The sequence below is a fragment of the Homo sapiens genome, chromosome 4, assembly GCF_000001405.40.
Source record: "Homo sapiens chromosome 4, GRCh38.p14 Primary Assembly".
Lineage (NCBI taxonomy): Eukaryota > Metazoa > Chordata > Mammalia > Primates > Hominidae > Homo > Homo sapiens.
In genome coordinates this window covers 37,454,148-37,477,628 of record NC_000004.12, presented here as the reverse complement: position 1 = coordinate 37,477,628, position 23,481 = coordinate 37,454,148, and the positions used below count along the sequence as shown (strand labels likewise).

General features: G+C 38.5%; 1 protein-coding gene and 1 long non-coding RNA gene across 5 annotated transcripts in view; one reads left to right on the top strand and one right to left on the bottom strand.

Moving 5' to 3' along the window:
- Positions 1 to 23,481, bottom strand: part of PGCKA1 (PDCD10 and GCKIII kinases associated 1) — a 140,256-nt gene that overhangs the window by 115,882 nt on the left and 893 nt on the right. The gene's annotated exons all lie outside the window — the stretch shown is intronic.
- Positions 1,779 to 23,312, top strand: LOC124900691 (uncharacterized). Of its 2 annotated transcripts, XR_007058098.1 has the most exons (3): positions 1,779 to 20,993; positions 22,039 to 22,149; positions 22,535 to 23,312. It is a non-coding gene; the product is annotated as an uncharacterized LOC124900691 (long non-coding RNA). The 2 variants fall into 2 exon arrangements; XR_007058097.1 differs by having other exon boundaries at positions 1,779 to 22,149.

Sequence of the window (23,481 nt, the reverse complement as noted above, 5' to 3'; positions counted from 1 at the left end):
AGTTTAGAAGGTTACCGAAATTCCTTAGAAGTCTGCCACTTTATTATTATTTTTAACAGCTATATTGAGATACAATTCATGTGCCTTATAATTCACCCATTTAAATAAAGTATTTCAATTTTTTTTGCATATTCAGAGTTGTGCCACCGTTACCACAATAAATTTTAGCACATTTTTATCACTGCCAAAAGATATCCCATAGCCATCAACTTTAGCCATCTTGCCCAATCCCCTTGCTCTCCCCAGCCTTAGGCAATCACCAATCTACTTTCCATCTCTGTATGACTAATCTTGACCTTGCATATAAATGGAATCATACAATATGCAGCCTTTTGTGTCTGGTTTCTTTCCCTTAGAATGATGTTTCCAAGGTTCATTCATGTTGTAGCATGTTATCAGTACTCTGTTCCTTTTTACGGCTGAACAATAGTCTACTCTATGGATGTATCACGTATTATTTTCTACTCATCAGTCAGTGAACTTTAGGTTGTTTCTACTTTTGGGATATTATGAATAATGCTGCTGTAAACATTTGTGTACAAGTCTTTCTGTGACATAAACGTATGTTTTTTTCCTTGGATATTTACCTAGGAGAATTGATGAATACTGTAATTCTGTGTTTAAACTTTTAAGGAATTGCAAGACTGTTTCCCAACATGGATGCACCATATTACATTCCCACCAGCAGTGTATTAAGGTTGCAGTTTCTCCACTTCCTTGCCAACACTTGTTATTGTCCATCTGTCTGATTACAGCTATCCCAGTGGGTGGCCGTCATGAAGTGGTACACCTGCTGTGGTACCTGCTGCAGGCAAGGTAATTTTCAAAAATTCATTATTTTTAACATGTTTTATTAAAAATTATTTTTAATACAGAACTCATAGAGGTTAACATACAAAATTTCTTCACATGTATATACTGATTTGATTCCTAGCTTCTAAACCAACAACGATCCCATCTATGTTTTAGCACAATGATTATTCCTGTTTTACAGACAAAGAAATGGAGGCTCACAGAGGTTAAGAAGTTCTAGGGCTGGGATTTGAACCCAGGGGTTCTAAAAGCACATGCTTTTAGCCACAGTGTTATCCTGTTTCAACAGCTACTAGGTGCCTGCATAAACATGAGCAGATAAGATGGGAGAATGAAGGTATTTGAAATATGTGGATTTAAAGCATCTAGTAATGATTATGAAGATGCTGAAGGGATATGGCTTTGGATTACAGCAATAGGCAAGATGTTATCTGTTAATAGACTAAAGAACAGAGAAGTGATTTCTGTGACTATAGAGCAATTTAAAGGAAGAGCTGAGATTAAACAGTCCCACATCTGCTTCACTGCTTTGGGTAAGTTATCATTTTTATCCTTCCATTTGGAAAATGAGAACATTAGTGATGATAAATAGAACCAAACCATGTGCTAAATATATTTACCTTTTGGTCCTTACACTTGCAAGAACGAGACCAGTTTCTCTTGAATGATTGATCATATTATCCTAATACAGCTAGATACATTATTTTAGTTTTTGTGATTTTAGCAAAATCAAAATAGAGCCAGATACATTATTTTAGTTTTTGTGATTAAAATAATGCATTTTAAAATAAAATAATAATTATTTTAAATAATATATTTTAAATAATGTATTGTAAAATAAAATAATTATTTTAAATAATGTATTTTAAAATAAAATACATATTTTAGTTTTTTTCCTTTCTCTTCCTTGTAGTTGAAGAAAAATTATTTCACAAAAATAAAAATTATTTTGAATTTTGGCCACAGTAAAAAGCAGTTCTGGGAATTCAAATTCCTTATGCCCTAGTTAAACATTATTAGTCAAAAGCTACTGCTCACTAGAACCCCTTTCTAGAAATCTATCCTGTAATACTGCATATATAATTCTTACATCTTTATCTAGGATATTTCCAATTTTCAAATTTGTATATGTGACCTAATTAAACAAAATAGCTCAAGAGGACTGATATTCTAAATAACTAATTCATAAATGTTGCTAAAAGTGGTATAATTTTATAATTTCCTGAAGAGAAACTAGACAAAATTTCCTGTAACATTACAAATCTTAAAAGAAACAGGGTAGTTTTAAGTGTGACAGAGTTAATTCATGAATGAGATATATAGACTAGAATACTCATTTTTAAAAAATGTTTATTTTGAAGCAAAGGATCATTATCTCAATCTTTAGCTTGTACCTGGCAGCCTGTATTTAAAGGGTTTATTCTTCATGGTGATGGGGTGGGGTGGATGTAGCTAAGATAGCAGTTCCAGTTTTACCACTTTTATTAATTTTGTGCTGGGGTTGAAGTGCTCCACAGGAAAAAAAAGGAGCATTGTTTCTATGAACTGTATAAAGGGGAGGGAAGGAGGAAATGTTAGAAGGATGATTTCTCAATTTTATTTCTTAAAAGGCACTCTTGTGGTTGCATTTCCTCCAAACCCAACCTTTTGTGTTCAGTTTGATTAAAATGCATCCTTCTTGGTCTAACAGTATCTGGAAAACTCGAGAAGGCTTTTTCCTAAACCATCAGTAGGTCAAGCAAGAAAGTTAGCAGAGCTGATTCTGCTGATGTACCTTCCATAACTGACAGTATTCATCTTTGAAATGATCAAGCCCTGGTATTTTGACTGAAAATGTGAAGTCTTTTATAAGGAAATGAAAAAAATCTACTAATTTTTTATAAACACCCTAAATTCTGAGTTTTTGCATACATGCCACTTGATCTTCATAATTATATCAGTAATACCACTGCATAAAAACATCAGTCAGAGGAAATCTAATTTAATGTGAAAATAGCTATTCTGAGGAGAGGTGGGAACACTGAAGAGGTTCTGGAGTTACACAGACCTTCGCTAAGTACCATCTCTGTCACTTACTAGCTTCATCATCCTGAATGACTTAACTTCTCTGAGCCCAACCCTTTCAGTTAATGTGCACAAATCACCTAAAGTACCTAGTACATAGTAGGTGCTCAATGAATGTTAGCTATTCCTACCCTTTTGACAAAGAAACCATTAGCTAGTACCAAAATGATAATGGAGTCTTCCCTTTCCACTCATCCTAAAGCAGGTATTCATGTCATTCCCTCTTTTATTTGGGCTTCATATTTATCAACTGAGTTTTTGCGTACCTACAGTTGCCAGGTAGTAGGCACTGAGGGGGTCAAAGAGAGGCAACGTTGACAAGTGTCTTAGCCTGCTTTGTGCTGCTATAGCAACCTGAGACTGAGTAATTTATAAATAACAGAGATTTATTACAGTCCTGAGGGTTGGGAAGTTCGAGGTCAGGGGGACTTTTATTTTATATGAGGTCCTTCCTGCTGCAACATCCCATGGCAGAAGGTAGAAAGGCAAGAGAGAAACCCGTGAGAAAGAAAGAAGGGAAGAGGGCCAGAACTCTTCCTTTTATCAGGAACCCACTCCCAAGGTAATGGCATTAATCCATTCATGATGGCAGGGCACTTGTGACCTAATCACCTCTTTAGGATCCCACCTCTCAAAACTGTTGCATTGAGGATTAAATTTCAAACACATGAAATTTGGGGGACACATTCAAACCATAGCAATGTCCAAGCCAGTCTTTGCCCTAGAGAGGAAAGAGCACTTGATGATGTCATCAGCTGAGACAATAGCAGAAAGGAGAGCACATCAGTGGGCTTGAAGGTGGAGCACCGATAGACTGCATTTCAGGTGAGTTGAGTTGGATGGGGTCTGGGGATATGCAAGCAGATATGCCCTACCGGAAGTAGTTTTTAATGGATCTGTAGCTGTGTAGGGGGGCAGGGCTGGAGAAAGGCATTTGGGTATCATGTATGTTTGAGCTATGAGTGGTGCATATATTCTGACACTGCCAGAGGTTGGTCAGGGAGCCTAGAAGACTGGGAAGAACTGTGGGGTGAGAAGAAAGACCAGGGACACACTACTGCTTGGGAATGGGAGATAGCAAGGAGATTTTCTGGGTGTCCCCTACAACCCTCAAAAGCATTATCTGCAGGTACTTCGGTTTTTAAAATTAATATTAAAATAACAAATCCAAAAATGTATTTTCCTTGAATTGAGATCAACTATAAATCTTATATTCTATTTAACATTCTCTAAACTCTGTCAATCTTCTGAAGAGTGATCTTTTAACTTGGTTAAAGTAGTAGACATTAAACATTTCAATATAGCATTAAATACAGCAAAATTATCTTAACATTTTTAACTTGAAAATACAAAGTCTAAATCAATCATCCAATGACATATTTTAGATTAGAAATCACAAGGCTAATCATATTAACACATTATCTTAAACATAATGAATATCTAAAATATTAAAGACTTTTCCCCAAACTTATCTAAAAGTATAAATATTTTTATTTTATTTAGTCCATCATATTTACACTTAAATTTTAAGTTTTCCCATGGTTAGAACACTATATTATAAGGAAATAATTTTGCTTTCCCCCAAAATTTGGGGTTACCTTCTTAGCGCATTTTCACTAGCAAGTTAGCCTGGGATTTAGGATCTAATTTTCCCTATGTATACTTGAACGGACACTCTATACTTTACGAAGGGTTCAGTCTTCTCATCTAAGTCCCCAAGATTTAAATTACTTGTTATCTAATTCTCAAGTCATCTTTGATTCTGTAACCTTCCACAGATTACCTTGCCAGTTGACCTGAATCAATGAATATGGTTACCATTTAATCCTACTCAGAATTCTTTGCACACTCTTCCTTGCAGACATAACTCATAGATAGTATAGAACATACAACTGGATTCTGCATCATGAAAACCTCAGGGTCAAACTTGATAATAGATGATAGAAAAATAGGGACTGGTCATAGAAGTAGGAGAAGAATCAGGAATAAGAAATGTAATAGCATAAAAGCATCAAAGGAAAGGGAGAATTTCAAAAAGGAAGACATCCTCAAGATCAATAGCTTGAAATGTAGCAAGGAGGTTTTTAAATTAAAGGGGTGAAATATGACCATTAGAATTGATCAGTGATGTTTTCATGTCACGATGTGGACTAAAACCAAATAGCAATATGTTGAGTGAACTGGAATGGGAATTGCAGTTAAAGGCAGCAATTACTCAAGAACTCTTTAGGACATTTTATTTTATATTATTTTATTTTTAAATAAGGGAAACAGAGATGGGGCAGTAGCCAACAGGCTCAAAGGAAGACATATTTATCTTGTAAGAAATAAATTTTTTCAACACCCCTTACCCCCACTTTTATTTGGTTAGAGTTGATAGATTCAGGACAAAGACAGAATTAATTGGTGAAGCAATATCCCAGAGGATGGAAGATAAAAGTTAAGTCCACATGAAAAAGTTGGCCTTGAACAGGAAAAGGAACACCTTATCCTCTGAGAATGAAGAGAATGAGGAAAGGACTGATGCAGATGTAGATAAATTTGTGGACATGGGTAGGGCAGGAGGCTGAAGTCGCTCAAGCCTAACTGCATGACTGTCGCAAGTCCTAGCCAATGCCTGCCAGGGGCACACGCAGTATGCAGCTTCCCCATTTCCAAGAACCGAAAGAATGTGGACTAAGATGATGACAGCTCCAGGAACCAGCCCAGACGGAGCCACTGGAGAGCTTCCCCATAAGGTAGCCATACATATTAATCACAGATCAAATAAGAGAAGAAATCCTAGATCCTTCTATCCAACTCAGATTTCTCACTTAAAGAAAATGAGGCCAGAGGTTAAGACAGGCTCAAGGGCAGTTGCTAGCATCTCTTAAGCTAGAAACCAGGTTTCTTGCCCCCAGAATGAAGTCTCCCTTTATTTTTTAAAATTGTATATAGCCAATTTTCTCCACCTTTTCCCCTGGCCAACTTTTCTTCATTCTTCTACTTTTAGCACTTCACTTTCTCTGAAAAGCCTTCCTTGCCTTCTCCCTTCCCTCCCCTCTCCCATTTAAATCATTTAAACAGGATCCCATTTAAGGATATTATATACCTCTTTGATCTTTCCTTTGTTGTTCCACAATTTAAATTCTATTTTTATTTAAGGATTATTTAATGTTCCTCTTTCCCAGTAGATATTACAGGGATTCTGTTCACTTCTGTATCCTGACCATCCCAGAGTATAATGCTTAGCTTGTAGTTAGTGCTCAATAAAATTACGTTTATATATGAAATTATATTCATTCTAGAATACATTTACATACTGTTAAAGCAAAATAAGCAGGGGGTCAAAAGACTGAGGCTGTCTCTGTGCTTTGAATTCCTGTATAACAAACTGTAAGCTAATTTAGTATATAAACAAATGAAAACTTAGGAGAATATTTTTTGTAACAAATAGCTGGGTTTCAGCCAATCAGATGCAGCCAACTGACCAGACCATACTCAACTATGGCAAATACCTAGCTGTAACCAATCAAGTTATTTCTGTATTTTACTTCCAAGTTTAGCCAATGTAAGCTCACTGCTCACTGTGGAGCAGAACTTGGAATCTCTTTTGGTTCTGAGTGCTACCCAATTCATGAATGGTTCTTTGCTCAAATAAACTGCGAAATTTAGTTAATGTTTTTCTTTTAGAAACATCAGGTACGTGGTGTGGGAGTATAGAATTCAATAATTTTATTTGCAAATTAAAGTTCTCTGTTTGTGAAAAATATGCTGTGGGCTTTCAGGAAGGCTGACATACTTTCTTCCTAGTATATGGGAGATGTTGAATACATATTTGTTGAGTGAATAATAATTTCTGAACTATCGAAGTTTTAATTTATGGAAGAAAACCACACATAGCCACTCAAAATAATTTAAAGATCTTTTCTACATCTCAAAAAAAACTTCTTAGGTAAGCAAAATAAGATTCTTCAAACAATGTAATTTAGAATAAATATTAGGGTTCACCAAAACTTTGAAAATAACTGGCTTACAATGAAAATACTAAGCATATAACTAAGGTAGCTCCGGTGATAATTTATAACTAGAGAACCCAATGTTTAATTCCTAAAGTTTCACACTTTTGAAGCTTCTGAGCCATCTTCTCTTAAACCCGACTTTCAGATATAAAATGAACTCACCAACTTTTGGTGCAGAAAATTCATGCATTTGCAAGTATTTAATAAGAAAAGCCATCACCAATGAAATGCCTCCACCCTTTTCACAGGGAAGGTAATTTGCAAACACATGCATGAAGATTAGTACCATACAGTAGGCAAATATTTTCCATGTCCCACCCAAAGCAAACAAATGAAAATAGAAACTTCAAGGACAATTATAAAATATCTTTAAATTTAAAGACACAGCACCCTTTTATCCTTTGGCTCCACCTGTACCTTTATCAGAAACACACATTTCTTAATCAGTTCCAACTGGGAATTTCTAGCAGGAAAACAGTCTCAGTTGATTGTGAGGTAATTGATTTTTTTCTTACATTTCTTTACTCTCAAAACTTTATGAATCAAAAAACAAATGGCTAGAAAGTACTAATCTGTTGGTTGTAGATATTAAGAAACATAAACAAGTTCCCCGGTAGTAGCTCTTAATTATATCTACAGATGCTATGTTCTAACTCTTTCATGGCAGTTTTAATTTGGGAGATGTTCAATACATATTTGTTGAGTGAATAATAATTTATCACTGAATCAGTGAATATCAAAATGTCCCAATGTTTATGCATACAAACTGTATCTCCCAAAGTGTCATAGTATTGGCATAAAAATGCTTTGCCTTATCCATTTGGAAGAGAATATGATCAGCGTTCTTGTGGCAAAGCAGATAATGGGTCTGTGTGCAGATATGGAAGGGTCAAGTTATGGAGAACATCAACCTTTGAGTTTCAGAGCAGACTGACTCAAATAGCTCATCCTGTTGTCCATCCAACATATTTTGCATTTCACTAGAAAATTCAGTAACTATATGTCATACCAAGAATAATATAAGTCCGATAGATTATTGCTTGGTCTGGGCATAGCTGAACGAAATGAGAAACATAAAATTTTCCAGGTACTTCTGAGGGTGCACATATACAGTCCAGGTCTGGGTTATATAGAGATAATACCAACTCTTTTAATAACCCTCCAGGGCACAACAATCTTGTCATCTTGGAATTTTCTATGTGTTGTCTTGTAATTTTCTGATTCTAAGATCCACTGGGGTGTGGTTCAGTCACATTCCTTCCTGTTCTACTTGCAATGAGGGTCTACTGGCTGCTCTTCCACGCTTTCTCTCCTTGACTACTACACAGTCTCTATGTGAAGTTGGTATTCAAGAAGCTTATTGAGAAATAAATTTCTGCATTTGCGAAAAGAACAATGTAAGCTTACTGAAAGGCAGACTTACAGCTGACTGAGGAGAAAATAATTAGTGCTTTAAATTTCTCCCTATATCATTTAGTCATTCATTGCTTAATAATGGGAATATGTTCCAAGAAAGGTGTCGCTAGGTGATTTTGTTTTTGTGCAAACATCAGAGTGTACTTATACAAACCTAGATGGTAGAGCCTACTACACAGCTAGGCTAGATGGTACAACCTGTTGCTCCTAGGCTACAAATCTGTACCGCATGTGACTATACTACTGAATACTGTAGGCAATTGTAAACATATCTAAACATAGTAAATGTACAGTAAAAATACGGTATTATAATCTTAAGGCACCAACATTGTATAAGAGGTATATGACCCAAACGTTGTTATGAGGTACATGACTGTATATCAAAATCCTAGTTTAATACAATTTAAAGGAATATCATAGTTATGAGGCTTAACGTTTTTTCCGAATTTTAAGATAAAAAATATAAATGCATTACATGGATACTTAAATATTTAAGGCATTGTGAACCCGCACAGAATTAACTATTGGAAAAGAAAACTGGTTTGAAAGACTTTAGAACTGAATCTTACACAAACATATGTGTGTGGGGGGGTATACAGAGTCTAAAACATCAAGCAGATGGTAACGTAAATAATGTCAATGTTTAGGATATGGAAAATGTTCAGTTGAAATAAATTAATAAAACACTGGAAACAAACACACCAAATTTGCAAAATGGGAGGCAGAGAGCAGAATAGTTTCCTAGAGATAGCAGCTCATTTAGACGATGAACACCAGATGCCAAGTGGAGCTCAGTAGAGACAAAAGTGTCATGATTAGCTTCAGGGGAGGAGAAGAAAAGGACGAGGCACCAGAGGTGAGATCCTAACACAGCCCTTTGCAGGCTGGGGCAACTCCCTAATTGCCCCTGGGGAGCTACAAGGCAAGGGACAAAGTAGCCATCATTTCTCATTTCGGTCAAAGGAGGAGGTTTATATCACTGAACAGTGATTCAAAAGCCTCCATCTGGCTGAACCCCACAACATGAGGGGTTGACAATGTGAAACACTGCTCCACGCCCATAGTCAAGCCAGGGTTGGCTGTGTCTCTGTGAGATATGAAACAGTCCCTGAGACACACTGTGTGAAAAGGACCTATGAGAATTGTAGGACCAGAAAGTGTTGAATATAGTTGTGGGAAATTACTGACATTATCAACAGATTAAAGTTGAACGGCCATGCCATTTCCTTCCGGAAGTTCGGGATATTGGTATTTTGTTGCAAGTGGGAAGGTACCTACTGACATGCCCTGAACCCAAAGTTCATTTCCCCAGCATAACCAATTAGGCAACTAACTTATTCCTACTGTATGTGTGAAAGACAGAGAGAGAACATGAGCGAGCTCCTGAGAGTGCTGTGTAAGTACAAACCACAAATGGGAGTCTTTCTTTTCCCCAAATTTTAGTGTTGCCTCAGATCTGAAATCTAACTGAAGCCTGTCAATTGTTGTACTGCATGTTTCACAATGCATGAACGTGATACTGGACACTGACTCTGAGTTCAAGCACAAATTTACTGGAGGAGAAAGACATATTTATTTATGAGGCCTTCCAAGTAAAGCCAAATTATTCACAGATACAGTGAGTGCTAGAGGAGACTTTGCTTGTAGGAGAAAGAATTCTAGACCACAAGCCAGTATATCCCTTGGTTCTAGTCTTGGTCTTGCTCTTAATTTAGGGTTATGTGACTTTGGCCACCCCATTAGTCCTTCTAGACCTCAGTTTCCTCATGTGTGAAATGAAGACGTAGAACTAAATGATCTCTAAAGCCCTTTTTGGCTCTAACAATCTAGAAGATATTCGGAAGAGGGAGCAATCATTTTAGGACAGAGGATCAGAAGATTCTATGATAGAAGAAGGGCAGTTTGCTCTTCTGCAAAGTCTGCTTTCCCTGACTACAAAAGTAAACATGAGAGTTGCAAAAACTCGAGTACAGAAATGTCAAATATAGTTTGTAAATGCCCCTATAATCTTCACTGTTATTTGTTTAAAATTTATTCTTCCAGCTATTTTCTGTTAAGAGCTAATTATAATCATTCCTATTTTATTAAAATGAAACACTAAGTGCATTTTTCTTCAACAAGTTTTTAAAAACTTAAGACTATATCCTGAATATTTCTGTCATGTCATTACACATACATCTCATTTTTAAATCAGTGCAGAGTACTGCACTGTATCTACATACTGTACTTCTTTTTCTGAGATGGAGTCTCACTGTGTCACCCAGGCTGGAGTGCAATGGCATGATCTTGGCTCACTGCAACCTCTGCCTCCCGGGTTGAAGCGATTCTCCTGCCTCGGCCTCCCAAGTAGCTGGGATTACAGGTGCCCACCACCATGCCCAGCTAATTTTTGTATTTTTAGTAGAGATGGGGTTTCACCATGTTGATCAGGCTTGTCTTGAACTTCTGAACTCAGGTGATCTGCCCACCTTGGCCTCCCAAAGTGCTGGGATTACAGGTATAAGCCAGCGTGCTTGGCCTACATATTGTATATGTTGATGATATATGGATTTTTTTCATCACAAACAATACTGCAAGAAAACTTGTATACCCAAGTCCTAATATTCAATCTTGACACCTCTTCCCTCACTTCCCATTTCCTATCCCATTACCAGGTACTGGTGATCTTATTGACTATCCTAGGAACCCATCCACTTCTCACTCTATAATTGCCTCTACTTTATTCAAGAGGAGAATCAACATCTTCTTCTGCAATAGTCCCTTAATTGATCTCTTCTCTCCCAGTCTTGCCTTCTTCCTACACAGCAGCCAGGGATGCAAATCTTATTACTCCTCAGTTTAAAACCTTCAATAGCTTCTCACTGTTCTTAAAATAAAGACCACCAACTATAAGGTTGTATTGTCTGCAATTTGCTAATTTATGGTATGTCAGCGTAGACAGTTTGGAATTTATGAGTGTGCTTTTAATCTGTGCTTTAGGATGTAGATTAAATGAGTTGCCCCAACAGGAATATATATTCAGAAATGAAATATATTTCAGATATTATATTTCATTAATATTTCAGATATATTTCAAAATATAAATATAATATTTCAGAAACGAAATATAATCAGAAGGCAGAGATGGCTTGTACAGGTATGCTAGCCTCATTATTTCCACTCAACACAAAGGACTTTATGAGTTTGCAAAATGGATGTTAGAAGTTATTTTTCCTTGGTGAAATCAGTTTTGTATGAGTGTGGACTGGCTAGAAATAGTGTAGTGAGAGGCACTCCCACTCTTGCATCAACAATGTGATTACAGCAATCCAGTATCTTTTACCCTTCCCAATGTTCCTAGTGCTTGTTTCTGAGAAATGGCTCATTCAGTGGCCGGTTCAAAGCATTCTTGCTGCTTAAATTAAGCTCTTAGGTGACCTCAACTCTTCTTCTAGAAGAGTGTCACATTTGTCTTTCATGAACTTTCCATGAAGATACAGTTGGAGAAACCAAAAGAATAGAAGGAGGGGCCTCACCAAGCTTACAGGACAGGATGTATGATTGTTTTTATTCCTGCTTACTAATCAAACTTGGATTGTGAGGGTGAATCGAACCCGAGACCAAGTGTTGAGGCTGTGAGGATGGTTTCTTTATCCTCACCCACCTCCAAATTCTGGAGTTTTTAACATCCACTGAGAGGGACCTGGTAGATATGAAGGACCAGGTTAGCTGAGGTTGGTTTTTAGCATGTGGTCTGCAAGGCCTGCAGGATGAAGCTACTGTCTACTTCTCTTGGTACTCCTCGTGCTCAAGACATTTCTCAGAACACCATCCCCCCAAGCCATATCAGCATGCCCTTCGCCCTCCCCTCTCTGGGGCTCCCTTTGCCGGGTAAGAGTCCACTCATCCTGTGGATCCCAGCTGGACATCCCTTCCTCAGGGAAGCCATCCACACCAGTATGGTTATTGCATCAATACCTGTCTCCCACCAAGATTGTGTCCAGGTCCATTTTGTTCACCTTTGTATCCTCACCACCTGGCACGGTGCTTGACCTCCGCAGATGCTTGTTCAATAAAAGGGTATTTAGGTTTTATTCTACACATTGATAGAAAAAAAAAAAGCTTTTTGTGGCACTAGGTTCACTAATTGGAATGGGCCCTCCAGTATAAGAACATTTTACAGTAATATTTTTTCAAAACTCCAATTCACAAAATGAAGAATGGAGAATATACTAAATATGAAAAGTGAGGCCACGGCCCTCTCTTTTAAATGTTATAAATGCCACCTTTGTTATTTTGAAAACTCTTCATGGAACTGAGAATCAAGAAAAGGTCACGTTCTTGAGCTTTAATTTCTCCATATTTTACAGTTTTCTTTAGTCTCCCTACTTATACTGTGATCATTTCAGCATGTAAATAAGTTCTGCTTTCTCTGTGAACTCCACTGTTGCTTCCTTTCCTCAAATTCAGTCCTTGGCATCCTCTCTGCCTCACACTAATACAAACATGGAATTGATTATAGGTTTTACCCTAACAAGTTCTTTACATGCTTGGGGTATATTTAGAAACATTTGAAACTATCCCTGGACAGATATTTAAGTAGACAATTTCATAATGAGGAAATTTACATCTCTAGTTAGAAATTCAGGGGAAATCCCAAGAGTTTAAGCTTGAAAGCTTCCTGCTATTTCGTGTGGCTTTTATATAAGGTCAAGACGAGGGGAGCCAGGAGAAGGTGTGTGTAGTTTGAGCCCCTCCCTCATTCTTTCTTTCCATCCTGTACCTCCCATTCTGCTCTAGTCCAGATGTATTTTACATTTGAGAAAATGGGAGGCCATAGAGGCTGAGACTCAGATTATTTAAACATTTACTAAGGGCGGGCTGTGCTAGGTAGACACACATTAGAGGAAGTAGTTAGCGTCCCAGTTTTACAGATGAGAAAACTGAAATCCAGGAGTAGTTAGCGTCCCAGTTTTACAGATGAGGAAACTGAAATCCAGGAATTTTAAGTATTTCTGAGGTCCCACAACAAATGGCAGAGCCAAAATTCAAACCCGATGAGAGTCCAGCCCTCATTACCGTCTCTTCTGGGGCAGCCAGGCCTGACTCCAAGTGGGCCATAGCTTCTCCTCTTTTGAGACTTACACAAGAAGTACAGTGGAACAAATGGCTTAGTGATGGAAGAAAATACAACCCCCACACCCAGTTTCTTTCCAAAGGGCTCACTTAAACTGAATAGAGGGTAAGCACCTGCAGAGGTGAGTACTGATTTAATGCAAACAAATGTGCATATGATGCTGTCATCTGTGTTTGGGAGGATGAATCTCATAATTTCTGACTTATGGGCGCGGGTGTACTTGTGCCTCGCCTAGTCATACCTGCCATTAGGGGACCTGCGATGTGCTCCAGCCGTGGATTCTTGAGTTTGTATTTGTTAGCTTGTTTTGCTTGTTTGTCTAGTTAACTCTTAAAGGGCAATTGCCTGTCAAGGGTTGCAGTTTCAGTAATTTTATTCTCTAAAGCTATTTTAGTTTTTTTTTTTTTTGGTTATATAAAAGTAACACTCCTTTTGCCCCATTAAATCTTTGAATCTAGGCAGATTCAAAGGCAGAGGGTATTAAGAAAACAACTCTCTAGCTCCCTCACCAGTGAGCTGTGACTTCTCTATCTGCCTTTGTTTTCAGGCTCACCTCCCCAGCGCCACAATTTAGCCCTGTGCTGCAGCACCAGGAAATACTTGTGTTTTATCTTCCAACAGAGAATGCATGGCATCAACAGTAGTGCCTGAACTCATTTTACAGCAGGGGGATCAGGCTTGGTGGGGCCTCTGCCTGGGCTGCAGTGGATCTCTTCCATTTTTACTATGTCCACCCCTAGAACACTTGGCTTCCTTTGCCAAAACCAAATCCTGGTGAGCATCATAAAACTTGTCTTGTCAAGTTTAAAAGAGAATGCAGATAAATTGTAACTGCAATCTTGACGGTCTAGCCAATTAACTCTGTTTTATTATTCTCTTTGGAAATGACTATAGCATTAAATGCGTTTGTCACATGCCAGGTAGCCAGCAAACCAGGATTCAAACCCAGGTAATGGCGGCTTTAAAATGTGAACTCTTTCAACTTCCCTACACTGCTCACCAGTGGCTGGGAGACGCTGCCACAGGGAAAGGAACAGCTCTGAAGTGGTTGAGTGAAAAAGCACAGGACAGGAAGGTTATAGACATGGGTCCCAGCCCTACAACAACCTCCAACTTATGGGAGATCCTTTAAGAGGTCCCATTCTCTCTTTAGGCCTCAGTTTTCTTATCCATAAAATGAGGGGTTTGGACCACTGAAGACCCCTTCCAGGTCATGATTCTGTCATCTACGGACTTTTTTTTTTTTTTTTTTTTTTGATACTGAGTCTCGCTCTGTCACCTAGGCTGGAGTGCAGTCCAGGTTCATGCCATACCCCTGCCTCAGCCTCCCGAGTAGCTGGGACTACAGGCACCTGCCACCAAGCCCGGCTAATTTTTTGTATTTTTTTAGTAGAGATGGGGTTTCACTGTGTTAGCCAGGATGGCCTCGATCTCCTGACCTCATCTATGGACATTTTTAAAGCCTCAGCTTAGTTGCTTAAGAAATAGGCTTAGAAATTGAATTGAAAAAAAATAAAAATCTTTTCATCATTCAAAGAAACAAAGGAATGGACGGCAAAATTGCTCACATCATTTGAAATTTGAAGTGTGGTTTGTTGCCATTGGGATCAACATATGGATTCAATAAAATAAGAAAATCAGGCAGGGGAGGAAATCAGTTTTTAATGAGGCATTTTCAATTTTCCATGAAATAATTACTTCAAACCACCAATATAAACTTTGAAGCATCGTTCTGAATTTGGCACAGTGTATATGAAAAAAGTCAAACCAAAGTAAACCAAAGACTGATCAGTTTGATAATCTCCTCCAAAGACCAAATAGAAAACCTGCAAAGTGCTTTAGTTGGACAGATAGAGAATTGTGCTTGGAGCCAGCAGGCCTGGGTTCAAGTTTTGGCTGAATCACATCTCCAAGTCTGTGTCCTTAACTATGAAATGATCATCATAATCCTACCTACATAGATATCACAGGGTTGTTGGGAAGGCCTAATAAACAGAACTACATAAAGAACTATTTCATTACAAATAATTGCCTGCCAAAAAAATTTCCCCACTATTTACATGGACATACAGATTTGGAATTTAAATGTTTGAATTACCTCTTAGCAAAAGCTGAAAAACTGCTATAATGAAAAGGAATGGGGGAAGCTGCCTTTAAACAAACAACAAAACCACAATCACCAAAAAGTATCCTTCTTTTACAGTAGCAAAGAATTGCAAAGATAACATCCCAGCCTGAAGGTTGGGAAGCACAGTTCAGAACTTGACAGTCCAGAATCATGTTCACATTCTCTCTTTATTCCCTTAGAAGATCTGGCATCGAGTCCCATGGAAGGTGCTTTGAAATGCCTCCCAGATTGCATCCTTCTCCTCTATTTCCTCCATCTTTTCCTTGGTCTGAGTTCTCTTCACAGGACAGCTAAAGGACAGCAAAGCCTAAGCAACAACCAGGGTCACTGCTGCCAGGCCAGCCTCAGTACTGCCCGATTAACCTTTCTAACAAGCAGACTTCATCAGGCTCCACAGCGATTCCATCAGTCTCACATAACTTCCTTTTACTGCCAAAAACGCACCCCTACTCTAGTCCAGCAATCCCTCCACTTGCTTTCATACCTGTGGCATTGATTCCAGCCCAGCGTCCAAGCTTTCACTGTTCTCCCTGCCTAGAAAGCTCCTCCACCCTCATGTAAAGGACCTCTTCAAGAAGAACTAGAAACCACTGCTTAAGGAAATAAGAGAGGACACAAACAAACAGAAAAACATTCCATCCTCATGGATAGGAAGGATCAATATCTTGAAAATAGCCATATTGCCCAAAGTAATTTATAGATTCAATGCTATTCCCATCAAACCACCATTGACATTATTCACAAAATTAGAAAAAAAGCTAATTTAAAATTAATATGGAACCAAAAAAGAGTCCATACAGCCAAGACAATCCTCAGCAGAAAGAACAAAGGTGGAGGCATCACGCTACCTGACTTCAAATTATATTACAAGGCTACAGTAACCAACACAGCATGGTACTGGTACCAACACAGATATAGAGACCTCAGAAATAAGACCACACATCTACAACCATCTGATCTTCAATAAACCTGACAAAAACAAGCAATGGGGAAAGAATTCCCTATTTAATATGTGGTGCTGGGAAAACTGGCTAGCCATATGCAGAAAACTGAAACTGCACCCCTTCCTTAAACCACATAGAAAAATTAACTCAAGATGGATTAAAGACTTAAATGTAAAACCCAAAACCATAAAAACCCCAGAAGAGAATCTAGGCAATACCACTCAGGACATAGGCATGGGCAAAGATTTTATGATGAAATCGTCAAAAATAATTGCAACAAAAACCAAAATTGACAAATGGGATCTAATTAAACTAAAGAGCTTCTGCACAGCAAAAGAAACTATCATCAGAGTGAACAGGCAACCTATAGAATGGAGGAAAATTTTTGCAATCTACCCACCTGACAAAGGTCTAATTTCCAGAATTTATAAGGAACTTAAACAAATTTACAAGAAAAAGACCAAACAACTCCATCAAAAAGTGGGTAAAGGACATGAACAGACACTTCTCAAAAGAGGAGATTTATGTGACCAACAAACATATAAAAAAAGCTCATCACTGATCATTAGACAAATGCAAATCAAAACCACAATGAGATTCCACAGCATACCAGTCAGAATGGTGATTATTAAAAAGTCAAGAAACAGTAGATGCTGGCAAGGCTGTGGAGAAATAGGAACACTTTAACACTGGTGGTGGGAATGTAAATTAGTTCCACCATTGTGGAAGACAGTGTGGCAATTCCTCAAGGATCTAGAACCAGAAATACCATTCAACCCAGCAATCTCATTATTGGGTATATACCCAAAGGAATATAAATAATTCTATTATAAAGATACATGCACATGTATATTTATTGCGGCACTATTCACAATAGCAAAGACGTGGAATCAACCCAAATGTCCATCAGTGACAGACTGGATAAAGCAAATGTGGCACATATACACCACAGAATACTATACAGCCATAAAAAAGAAGCATGATCATGTCTTCTGTAGGGACATGGATAATGCTGGAAACCATCATCCTCAGCAAACTAACACAGGAGCAGAAAACCAAACACCACATGTTCTCACTCATAAGTGGGAGTTGAACAATGAGAACACATGAACACAGGGAGGGGAACAACACACACCGGGGCTGTAGGGAGGGCAGGGGGAGGAGAGTATCAGGATAAATAGCTAATGCATGCAGGGCTTAATATCTAGGTGATGGGTTGACAGGTGCAGCAAACCACCATGGCACATGTTTACCTATGTAACAAACCTGCACGTTCTGCACATGTATCCTGGAACTTAAAATAAAATAAAATTAAAAAAAAAAACCAAGCTAAAAAAAAAAAAAAAAGAAAGAAAGCTCTTCCACCCTCCTTCACCTATCTTAATACAAGTCATTTCTCCAAGCTCCCTTTAGTGCAGGGCTCTGCATTTACTGTGGTTATGCAATCATCTGGGAGATCCTGTTAAAATGCAGGTTCTGATTCAGTAGACTGGAGGTGAAGTCAGGACTCTGCATTTCCAACAAGCTCCCAGATGGTTATGATGCTGCTGGTCCATGGACCTCACTTCGAGGACCAAAGCTTACTGGCTTATTGGAAAAAAATGGAAAAGGAATAGTTTTTTGAGATACATGGACATGGGTTTAAATGTCATCTTGATTAGGTTTTAGCTGTGTGACTAAGGGCAAATAACTTCCCTTGTATAATGGGAATATTACTTAATTTATATAAATGACGTGAGGATCTTTTGAGATATTAACAGATACTATTCTAAATAGGGCTTTCTCTTGGCTCCCCTGAACTCATCACTTCATCCTCTATTAAGCTTCTCTGATTATCCAGTCTTACTTCTCTTTACTTGGAATTTTATTGCTTAAATAACATGTGTGCACACTGCAACCATATATAAATGAGACCATATGTTCTTTGAGGGCATAATCATGTTTGATATTTCTCTTAGCATATAAATCATGAAAAAGTTTTACTAAAGTTTGATTTTTTTTTCACGCAAAACTCTGAGCCGTATAATACTTAGTAATACCACCACCCTTCACTGCAGCATTATGTAGGGAGGCAGAGCTCCGTCGTGGTACTGAGCACAGGCTTTGGAGTCAGACACACCCAAGTCCCAGTGTTGGATTCATCACTCACCATCTGTCCTGCCTAATCCAGACTAACATGTCTGGTTCTCAGTTTCTTCACCTGTAAAATAGGAATTTTGCCTTAACCTTCAGTGCTATTGTGAGAATTAAGTTAGACAAGTTACATAAGGTACGAGGTGTATATTATAAATTGTGAAAAAGGCCATGATTCTCCATCCCTCCCTGAATCCATGCCATTTTCTAATGTAACGTTGCAGTTCCTCCCATTAAAAAGTGGGGTCTATTTCTCCACCCCTTGAATCTGAGCTGGCTTCTCGAGTTGCTTTTGAAATAGACTGGAGTAGAAGTGAGTTGTGTCAGCTTGAATTTAGGCCTCAAGGGGCGTTGCTTCCATTCTCTCTTGCAACCAAGTTGAGCCAACATGTGATGAACCCAGGCTAGGCTGCTAAATCATGAAAGACGTGAGGCTCAGCTGCTCCCCACGTGACATGGCCGATGGTCCGCCAATACTCAGAGGCAGAGCTGCCTTGGTGTCCACAGATGCATGGAGGAAACTGGAAAAGAACGTAATTTGCCCACCCAAGCCCACCCAAACTGCTTATCTACAGAAGCACAAGCTCAATAAATGGTGGTTATTTTAAGCCATTACGTGTGGGGTGATTTGTTACACAGCAATAGATAACTGATACTGAATATATAAGTAATTTCTCAATAAACAGTGGCTATGTTTTGGACAATATTATACTTAATATAGAATGAGTTTTTCATAGTACTAACATTTGTGCTTTTTAGTCAGAAGTAGGAACATGACTAAACCAGGAATTGGGACTCTGAGATTCCAGTCCCAGCAGTTTTTCCAATGGGCAGCTGTATGACTTTGGACAAATCAATTAACCTCTTTGAGACTCAGTTTCCTCACCTGTAAATTAAGGTGGTTAGACCAAGTAACTTTTAAGGTTCTTTTCCAGCTCTAAAAAGGATCAAGGGTCCTTTTTACCAAAAGGCAGTACTTCTTCCTTTCTAACAGATAGTTTTGAACACAATTTAATGTTTTTCTTGTAGACTTAGGGTTTAATCACAGACCACCTTCACTGTATTGTCTTTGCTGCCTAGCATTTGGCTGTAACCACATTTCATACTTATCACAAGAGCTGTACATTGAAACTATAAAGTAGATCTTGCTGTGGACCAGGAACCCAGGTAGCCAAGCTCATTAGGAATCAGAAATGAAATAATGCCAAATAAGTTCTAGTGGGAATCTTAAGTATGTGACTCTTAACAACAATTTGAAGGTGCAGGTGGACTTCTTTTATGCATTTCTAGGTTACAATACATATTCTGGAGGACTAAGGTTGTTGACAATCTGACCAAATAAAAGCAGTACTATTTCACAGCTATACAGAATCAAATCTTTGTATTTATTGCACGTTAATAACCAAGATATATGATACTCAGTTATCAAATGAGGGAAAACAACACCAAAATCAAATTTCAAAACTCCTGTGTGTAGACATCTACTCCACAACTAGTGATCAAGTGAATAAATTTAAAATACATCCAAATACACATTGTATTAAAAAGCTATGCATGCGGCAATGAGTCAATAACCAAGGTGACTTTTGTTTGTTCACAGGCATTATGTATAGCCTCTCACACGTCACTAATACTCTTACAAATATAATACAGTCCTCTCTGTGACATACAGCAGGCCATGTTGTGGTCAACTGAAAACAATAAAAAAGAAAGGCTGTTCTACTGTCCATTTCCACTAGTGTTAAACAATCAAATGTCAGGGTGTTTTTACTCCCAGAAGGAGTTAAGCTAAATCAGAGAATGTGTATATAATATGAGGGCAACAGTTTACTTCAGCTTTGCCTTCAGATGTAGATATTTAAGTCTGTAGAAAGAAGCACTAGGTTGTTGAAAATGTGAAATATAATTGGCTATTTATCAGAAACCTTTTTCTGTGATTAAAAACCATGAGGAGCTCTAGAGGAACTAGAATCCACATGAACATTGCAATGAAATGTGGCTTACATTTATCTACCTAGAGAAAATGTATTTTGAAATGACATGTAAATTGACGTCAGAGATTCAAGTCAATTAATGGGTTCTTACAGTTAAAATCTTAAATACCAGTGCTTCTTTAACTATCTTTCGAATCAGTTCACTTCTCTCTCTCCTCTAATTTAAATTTTTGCCGCAGCTGCCTTTGGTCTTGGTTGTATCTTTCCTGTTTCATTCTCATTGCAGCCTGCATGAACTCTCTAAAATAGAGATCTGCTGTGCTTAAGATCCTTCAATGGTTTCTCCCAAGATATTGGGATCTCTGAAGACAAGGACTGTGTCCCCAGAAACTCATCGACTCTCTGGTGTCTCTGGGTCTACGCACATGATGTCTCCAAGGCCAGGTCAGGGTTTTATTAAATTTTGTAGAACCACTTGTACACTGAACAGAACAGAGTTCAGCACTTCTGATAAAGTTTGAGTGAGATACAATATTCCTTTTGTCATTTGTTAATATTCATTGCAGCTCTGGAACATCTTTTCTACAATGCCTGACAACACTGAGTCAGAGTTTTAATTTTCTGTTTCAGGACACGTATTCATTGGCTTGGTGTTTTACGTATGTTTTAGGAAAGGATTATTTGATAATCTACAGTCCTGAAGATTTTAACTAACCTCTGTGGGACTATGATATTCTCGGGTGAAAAGGGTACAAGTAGATGAGCGATTTCATTTTCAGTTTATTCTCTTAAATAGCAGTCAGAGTAAGAAAGGCTACAACTGGAGACACAGGATGGCTCAATGGTTAAGAGCAGGCACTCGAGAAAGACTACATCTGACCTGCACATAGGTGAAGACTCCAAGTCGGCTTCCCCTAGGATGACCCCTTTAACTCAACTCTTTTCTACACACCTACAAAGTCTCTCTGTAAGCATGTAATCTAATGACCAAAAAGAATGACCAAAAAGAAAATCTGCCTAATGACCAAGAAAGAAAAGCAGGACATAGGTACTAGTTACTATTTAACCAAGACTGTAAAAGATCCCAAGATTCAGGGTTACCAGAAAAATTGTGTAACTAGGGGAATGTGAAACACAGTCTAGGGAGAGGAAACCTAGCTACTGGAAGGCTGGTATTCAATTATTTGGAAACTGGCGTCTATTCCAAGAAGCACCGTGAATGGGCTTCCGGGCACCAAGAGCGGGCTGTTCTAGGAGGAAAGGGGCCGGCCCTACCTGTGCTCTGCCCTTGGGCTGCAAATGGATTCTGGCCGGAGCTTAGCCAGGTTGTATTTCCGGCTCAGAGAGGGTCTGGGTGGGACGTCAAGGGAATCATTCCATGTTTAGGATAATGGAACGTGTTGAGTTGGTATGCAAGGTTTTGTCTTCAATCCCAGATATCCAAAAAGCTCTTTGAAACACAGGAAAGATTGGCCCTATTTCTCTTTAGGTATCATTATTTATCTAAATCTCCGGAGCCATTGAGGACCAAGATCATACTTGCTGAATAAATGCACGGAGCAGGATCAGAGGATAGACACAGAATGGGCCAAGAAGAGAAGTAAGCCACACCTTCCCTTCCTGTCTCAGCATCTGTTCCATTTCTGCTCAGTGACCCAGGCAGCTTGCTGTTAGCTGACTCTTCACACTTTAGGGAAATACAAATAACTCCAGAACTTAACTTTACCTTTGAGCTTCAAATTGTTTCAATTATGTACCTTGTTTCAATTATCTGCCTCCTGACAGTGTTTCACAGCTGGGACCAGTAAGGTGGTCTATGATCTTTAACATCTGTCTTATCCTTCCTAAAATAGTATCAACTGAAGGATTAAATGGGGAAGGGGGAGGGGTAGGCAACAAATATAGACTCTATTATGTTTAAAAGCAGTAACCGCTTTCCATTTCTTTCTCATTCAACTCTCAAATGCTTCTCTTCTTTTCTCCAGATATTATTCCTCATAAGAGCTTGCTTGATTGCAACCACCAAGGACATCCACAAACCAGGGCAAGAAGGACCATCCGTAATTCTTTCCCATAAATAGTGACAGGAAGAAAATAAACGCCCTATTCTTCAATGATTTGAACCACCTCTGGAGCACAAACTTTCTCTAAATTCACAGGGCAAATATCCATCATGGGGCAGGTATCTATGCTGCCATGGAAAGTAACATAAAATGTACTAAGTCATCACAGGGAGTTTTAATTTTGTTTTTAAGGTCAATTGCCATGCTGGGGTAAAAAGCATTGATCCTTGCCTTTTATCACCGGAAAAATTCTTCACCAGTACTTTGTGAAAATCTCGCCTCATCAGGGCTGCCAAGGTCAATGCAACCTAAGTAACCAAGCTGGGAGATGCTTGCCTAATTATTAAATATTTAGCAAACAGTTTGTGACTATTTAACTGTTTGCACCTGGCACCCTCTTTTCACTACGTGAGGCCTCCTGGCACCCTGACCTCTTCCCCCACCCCTACCCACTGCCCAGGCCGCCAGCACCCCTGGGGGGCAAATACCGGGACCCAAGGGCATTTCAAAGAAACAGCAGAGGTCACATTCCATTTCCTTTTTATTAAAAAACATACTTAAAATGGGGGAGGAGGGCACAGATCTAAGGTAAAATCTCTTGCAGTTTTTTCAAGTTCGCATGCACCGTTGAAAGTTCATTAGTTAGGGATTTAAAAGCAAAAATGTTTCACACAACCAATTAAACGCCAAGCTTTACAAACGCCTTGGTCTTTGGTTTTGGGAATCTGTAAAAGTCCGCCTCCCCCCACCCGAGTTTTGCCCCTTTTAGAGCCCCTTTGTTGAATTACGTGACTTTTCCCGAAGTCATCAAACTTTGAATTGCGTCTCTAATTTTTTTTTTCAGGGCAAAAGCAAATCAAGAAATTAAA